At 54.6% G+C, this 6,550-nt stretch overlaps 1 protein-coding gene across 15 annotated transcripts in view, besides 1 other annotated feature; it reads right to left on the bottom strand.

Annotated features, from left to right (window-relative positions):
- Window positions 437-601: a silencer, noted in NCBI's record as "fragment chr6:35263932-35264096 (GRCh37/hg19 assembly coordinates)". NCBI's record gives its function as "represses an EF-1alpha promoter that drives an FKBP-Casp9 reporter gene in an ReSE screen in HepG2 liver carcinoma cells {active_cell/tissue: HepG2}" and the evidence as "EXISTENCE:reporter gene assay evidence [ECO:0000049][PMID:32094911]".
- Window positions 771-6,550, bottom strand: part of ZNF76 (zinc finger protein 76) — a 36,453-nt gene continuing 30,673 nt past the window's right edge. For 2 of the 15 annotated variants that reach the window (XM_017011249.3, NM_003427.5), the window contains exons 6-14: window positions 6,374-6,490; window positions 6,040-6,115; window positions 5,353-5,478; window positions 5,019-5,198; window positions 3,969-4,202; window positions 3,712-3,875; window positions 2,841-3,005; window positions 2,187-2,300; window positions 771-1,612 (exon numbers count right to left, since the gene is read on the bottom strand). In XM_017011249.3, coding sequence (XP_016866738.1) covers window positions 1,508-1,612; window positions 2,187-2,300; window positions 2,841-3,005; window positions 3,712-3,875; window positions 3,969-4,202; window positions 5,019-5,198; window positions 5,353-5,478; window positions 6,040-6,115; window positions 6,374-6,490 — 1,281 coding nt within the window. In that variant the 3' untranslated portion in view covers window positions 771-1,507. Of the gene's footprint in view, window positions 1,613-1,840; window positions 1,977-2,186; window positions 2,301-2,827; window positions 3,006-3,711; window positions 3,876-3,968; window positions 4,217-5,018; window positions 5,199-5,352; window positions 5,479-6,039; window positions 6,116-6,373; window positions 6,504-6,550 lie in introns of those variants that run through there. The other 13 variants (XM_047419300.1, XM_047419299.1, XM_047419303.1 and 10 more) reach the window with 9 other exon arrangements.

The raw sequence follows: 6,550 nt of genomic DNA, 5'->3' as shown, positions 1-6,550 counted from the left end.
GGATCAGAGGAGGGGGTTCCAATCCTAGGAGGCAGGAAGGGGTTGGGGCATATCCATCACAGCAGAGAGAGGAAAAGAGGCACCACCAATCCCTGCAATGTTCCTGTGTAGGCAGAGTCAAACCCAGAGCTTCTTCCCATCAAGTGCCTTCCCCTGTATCCCTTCTTCCCCCTGGAGCTGATCTGGTCTCACCAACTCACTTTTCAGTGGGGTCTGATTGTGGCTTTGAAATCCCACAGCACAGTCCTAGGCACCTAGGTGGGCACCCCCAGAGCTGGGTAATAGAGCCAAGACTTCAGCTCCAGAGGCATCAGACTCTGCTCCTTGAATCTCAGTAACCTTGGCAAAGGTGTCCCCCAGCCTCACTCTAACCTGGGGCTTTGCCCTCTTGGAGAAGCTGACTGTGTGATTTGGGGGTGGCTGGGTTGGAGGGGCTCTGACTACGTTTCACAAGAAAAGGCAGGAAAAGAGTTCCCCCAGCTCAATCACATGAGGCCTGAGATTCAGCCAGAGCCTGGAAGCAGCGGTCACCCTGGTCCTGTTTGGCTACCCTGGAGCCCACCTGCTCAGCTGTGGGCAAGAAGCCACCAGCAGCTCCTCAGGGCTTTATCTTATACTGGGCTTCCTTCCCACCTGTGTCCCTGGCAGGCCAGCCCCACCACTCTGGCACCAAGGCTGAGTGGGGTTTGTGCCAGGGAGACAGGGCTGATAGCCTGATTTGACCAACCCTGCCACCCGGGCCTAGAGCTGAAAGGATGGAGGGACCCAGGTGGAAATTTGGAACTTTTATTAAATACTCATTCATCCATGTGCCACCACCACCCAGAGCAGGAAAAAAATTATCAAAATGGAATTAAAAAAAACAAAACAAATCAAACCCAATCCCCAGCAGTCTATGTACAGGGCCACTCCCTGCCTCTCTGCCATAGAGAGGTTGGGGGGCAGCTGAGGAGTGGTGGGGGCTGGGCACCTTTTCTTCAGCCACAGGCCCCTGAGGAATTAATTGACTGTGGTGTCAGGAAGTCCCTGGTGCCAAGTAGCCAGGCATCTCAGCTGGCCTCCAGGGAGGTGGTTATTGCTGGGAGGGCAGGACAGGGCCTGCTCCACTGCTACTGGGCTGAAGAGCTGTCTGTGGCTCAACCCTACAGGGCCAGTCCCCATAGCAGCCCCAATCTCTACCTGAGAAGGGGAACAGACTGAGGGCCAGAAGGGTGTTCTTTAGGAGGAGAGTGGGCGCCCAGCTGATTTTGAGAGGCGGGTGCCCTGGTGTAGCCTGGCTGTTGTCAGCTCCCGAGGATGATGCACTCCCCTGATTCCAGCTGCCTGGCCCCCTTCTTGAGCAGGGCCCCCATTCCCTTCAGTTAGGCAGTTTTCTTGCTGTCTTCTCACCCCAGAGACCTATGTGGCCACCTTCTATGTGTCAGCCACAGCCTGGGCCCTTGGGGGCAAGAGTGGCCATGCAGATGGCACTTCCTCCAGCATGGTGTGGGACCCAGCCCTCTTGGACTCAGCAGCCACTCTCCGACACTGTTGTCTCCAGGGTCACAGCCCCTTGCTGCATGGCCGCAGTGGCCACATTGATGGCCTCCTCTAAGGTCTGCTGTTCCTCCAGCTGTGGGGAAGGGGGTGCAGAAGGAAGGAGACAGTGAGACCCTCCCTGCTAGATTCCAGTGTTAGTAATATGTGGCCTACTTTTTTTTTTGACTCTCCCCCATCTACCCAGTGCCACACGCTGAGCACTTAGTAGGGCTCCAATAAACATGAAGTTCACGGATGAAGAGTCCTATTAGGCTAGGCATGGCCAGGGGGCCCTGGAATAGCCAGGGTCAGAGAGACCCACTTGCTCACGGAGGAAGGACTGGCTGAAGAGAACCGTGGTGATCATCTACGTCAGCCTCCTTCATTTCCAGATGAAGAAACAGAGACACAAAATGATGAAGGGCTTGGACCACAGGTGGACTGCCATCGGAGTTATCCTGAAGGCCAGAAGAGGCTTCAACATTCTGCCTCAGCCAAGAGCGAGCCTGAGACAGATGCATGGATGCAGGAGGAAAGGGATCTGTCCTCTGAAATGGGCTCTTTTTGAGTCAGATGCCCTTCTCTTCAAGATCCTCATCTAATTCCCCTTTATTCCTTGTTGACTTCTCTGGCCGTGGGATCCCCTTTCCTCCCAGATCTCTACTCACCTGCACTGCAATGTGCGTTCCGTTGGCTGTGGCCAACAGTGCCACCTGTTGATGACGAAGAGATGCTACACTTGAGTCCTCAGCCACCACAGCCCCAGAGGTAATGATTGTGACCTGAAAGACAAAAGGAGGTCTTCCATTCCACCTGCAGTATACTCTCCCTCCCCACAATCCAAATAAACATCCCTCCAATTAAGGTGCTGGGAACAACCCAGAAGAGAATGGATAAAACCGTATGGGTCAGATTAATTAGCCTGAGGCTCAGAGCTAAGTAAGGCTGGGTTTCCTCCCAACTTAGAGCCCAATTTAATTTAGGGATTTTGAATCACAGAAGGACAGAGCTGTAAAAAATTCCAGAGATATTTTAATCCCCTCACTTGAAAATGGACAGAAGTCCATGGAAAAGTGATTTGCCTAAGGTTGCACAACAAATCAGGGTTGAATTGAGATTTAGAAAGTGTCTCTTGACCTCCATTCAACTGCTTTTAAAGGTAAGAGCTGCTCATGGCCCAGGAACTGTGGGGAAGACCCCTTCTTTTGTGGGGAATCTTTGTCCTGGTAAGAAGACTTGACTAGTTTAGGCTGCACTTTAATGCCCGCCCCATGGAAAGGAATGACAAAATAAGAAACCCCAAGCAAACCGCCTGGTCATACGGGCTGCGTCTGGGTGCCATCGGCGCTGACCATGGTGACTGTATGTGTGCCAGATGTGGCCAGGTCGGCATCAGGACTGGGGATGGTGAGGGTGGTGCTGCCGTGCTGGGTGACCATACTGATGGCACTCCCCAGGGCCTGCAGGTCTTCCGGGGACAGGCTGACCTGCCAACAGGAGGGGAAGATGAGCTGGCAGTGTCAGTGGAGGGTTGTCTGAAAGTCCCTAAGGAAGATATACCTGCTCTCCCAGACAAGGTCAGCTTATTAGTTTCATGTCATAGTGGTGGAAGGGATGGGTGACAGGCAAACAAAATGGGTCCAAGGTTGCAAAGAGAGGCCACACTAGAAGAATTCCACTGACTACTTCTATTTATCACCACTTTGCCTCTGGGCCCTGTTGTATCCAGCTCAGGGTCGCCACCTGATTGTGTCCTAACAACTCTAGAAAGCACAGATGTACTTTCTAGCAAGGGTACGGACAAGGGTCAGGTTATATAGCTAGCTAGTACACTAGTAGGACCAGACCCCAGGCTTTCAGACCCCATACCATGTTCTGGCTGCTATATGAACATGCCTCTCTTGAGAAGGACATCCCATATCCTGTTCAGATGAACAGGACCTGTCAGCCTCCAAGTAAAGAGAGAAACTACTAACTGTGCTCTAGAAGCCCCAGAGACTGAGCTGGAAGCACAGGAGGAGGAGAGGCTGTGCTGCAAGATGTGGTCTCCTCAGCCTCAGCCTCTGAAGTCTATAAAACTTAAACAAGAAGCTGGGTGGCAGTGGGGCTGTCAGAACTTCAGGGCTCCCAGAGTCCCCAGAGAGAGTGGAGAGTGCCAGCTAGTATGGCACCTCTGCCCTCCAGGGCCTGTACCTGCTGGGCACCATCCTGAGTGATCAGAGCCACCTGGGGGGCCCCATCTTCTTCAGTCACCATCGCCACCTGGGCTGGGATGTCATCTCTCTCTTCCTTCACCTCCGAAAGGTAAGCTATCCGGGGTCGTTTGGGTGGCGGACTCTCCTCGGCTGCAGAGGCGGCTGGGAGAGGAGAGCCAAGGCTGACATCTGCTACCAGATGCCATGGGGAGGCCTGGCTTGTCCCCACTCTCACCCTCTGCCCACTCCCCTTACCCTCAAGTTGCTGCTGCTCATAGAGGGCCTGCTCGCTCTCCTCCGTGGCCTCCAGCTCGCCGTGGGCACTGCGCTTGTGCATGGCCAAGGTGGAGGTCTGCCGGTAGGTCTTGCCGCAGGTGCTGCAGGTGTAGGGCTTGCAGTGTGTGTGCACCACGTGGTGCTTATACAAGCTCGAGTACTCGGTGAAGCGTTTCCCGCAGCCTGGCACCGTGCAAACGTATGGCTTCTCCCCTGGGGACACTGGGCTGTGAGGGGGGTGGGAACTGGGGCTGGCAAGGGGGAAACTAAGGGGACAGGGGTGAGGGACAGGGTTGGTGAAGGGAGAGCCAGAGGGAGGGAGAGGGACTGAGACCTGAGACTCTGAATGGACAGGGTTGGGGAAGATGGCCAGTGGAACACAGAGAGGACACAGGTGTTGAACCACTGAATCCAGAGACAAGGCGGAAAGGAAACGGGGGACAGGGCAAGGCTGGGGCTAGTGAAGGGGCTGGTAGGGGGCACTGGGGCTTATAAGGTTGAGGGTGGGAGGTTGAGAATGGTGAACAGCAGAGGCAAGAGGCAAGGATGACTGAAGTATCAGTTGTGATGGGAAAGAGGGGACACACATGCTGAGACACAACACAGAAAGCTGGATGAGGGGCATAACACTGGGGAGGGTGAGGATACACAGGAGTCATGGACGGCGGATAAGGTGAGGAGTTGAAGGTGACAGTTCACTCTGCTTCTTCCCCATCATTCCTGACCCTGGCCTCTTTTCAAGAGTTCAGTCAGAGTTGGAGAACTCAGGGTGGGTGTAGAGGGGTGGTAGGGAGCTGAGGGACCCCAGAGAGGACTGGCAATACCTTTCAGATTGGACCTAACTGGAAATTGAGGAATTACTCACTGCAAGCAGAGTTGTTCTGGGGATACCCTACCCCCAGACCAGCCTGGAATGGCTGGCACAGAAGGGTTCTGGGCTGGGAGTTGGGAATGTGTCTTAGATGGGAAGCCTACAGTAGAGGGGTTGGGGCCTGAGTGAGGGTAGTCCTCGCATGCCAGCTAGCCCACCTGTGTGGATGCGCACGTGATTCTTATAGTTGGTGGCGCTGGTGAAGCCGCGGCCACAGTGGGGCTCCGGGCAGGTGTAGGGCCTCTCGCCTGTGTGGGTGCGCACATGTACCTTGCGGATGTTAGATGTGGTGAAGGAGCGGCCACAGCCCTCAAAAGGGCACTGGAACGGGCGTTCACCTATGCAAATGGTGGGATGTGAGGAGGGGTGTGGGAAAGAGGGCCATGCTGGAGCAAGCTGGGGATGGCACTGGGCTCCAGGTCTAAGTCTGAAAGGCAAGCTGAATTCCTTTTGCCCAGGGAATGGGGTTGGAGTGGGCAGGGCCCAGCATACCAGTGTGGGTACGGACATGCTTCTGCAGGTCTCCTGAGGTCTTGAAGGCCTTGCTGCACAGCTCCTCTGGGCACTTGTATGGTTTCTCACCAGTGTGGGTACGAACGTGGCTCTTCAGTCCATAGCCTGTCCATATGTGGCAGGCAGGGGGTGAGATGAGCACCCAGTGGGGTCTCATCCTCCACCGTCCACCTCATGCACAGGCTCTCCACCTCCTTTGGCTCAAGAAGCCCATGTCTGCCTCTATCCCACCCCTGCCCTGGGCAGGGGCTGGAAAAGCCCACTCTGCCCTGCTTCCCTCTCCAGGAGCAGTTGGAGCCATACCAGAACATGAGCATGAAAAGAAACTTAGAGAACTCATGGCTAAAGGTACTAGTTTCACAGAGGGGAAAATAAGCCCAGAGAGATGCAATGGCCCACCCAATAATCCACAGCTGGTTGGCATCAGAGCTGACACAAGAGGCTGGGTCTCTCCACCAACCCTCCAGGCTCCTTCTGCTGGCCTGAACCATGCTGCCTTGCACTCCCGTAACAAGGTTTCCTCCAGAGAGAGCACCCTGCAAGTCAGAGTACTCTGACGGTAGTTTCTCCAGGAAAGCAGCCTGGTGTTGGGTTCCCTTCAGAGAGGTCCCAAACAGAACGAGAACCCTCCACCCTCAACTGGAAGCAGCCCACCAGGCAGGTTACCTGTGGCAAAGGCCTTTCCACAGCTGGGGAAGTCACATCTGTATGGACGGTCACCTGTATGAGCTCGTTCATGCACCTGTGAGGACAAGCAATCACATAATTCAGAGGAGCAAGGGTATGACCAGGGCTCTTTGGTTTTCTTTAGGACCCTGATTCTCTTCCCTCCTGTACCATTCATGTGTGTCAAGCGCTCTGTGCTGGCATTCCTGTGTACCCTCATTTCTTCCCTCCAGCAACGTGAGGGCAGGGACCAATTCCAATCAAAGCAGAAAGGTAGAATTACAGCCTGGGAGGGAAGACTGCAGAGCTGACGGCTGTCTGCCAGCAACCTTACCTTTAAGTGATGAGCGGTGGTGTAGAGACGCCCACAGCCCTTGTAGCCACAGCGGAATGCTCTGTCTCCAACTTGCTGCCCTTTTCCATTACGGGGAATCTGGCTGTCATGAAGAACCTGGGGGAAAAGTCTTGAGATCCCTATATGTATTCTCCCCAGTGAAGAAGGTGGGACACA

The sequence above is a fragment of the Homo sapiens genome, chromosome 6 (genome assembly GCF_000001405.40).
Source record: "Homo sapiens chromosome 6, GRCh38.p14 Primary Assembly".
NCBI lineage: Eukaryota > Metazoa > Chordata > Mammalia > Primates > Hominidae > Homo > Homo sapiens.
The sequence above is the reverse complement of the archived record's forward strand: the minus strand, read 5'-3'. Positions and strand labels throughout refer to the sequence as shown.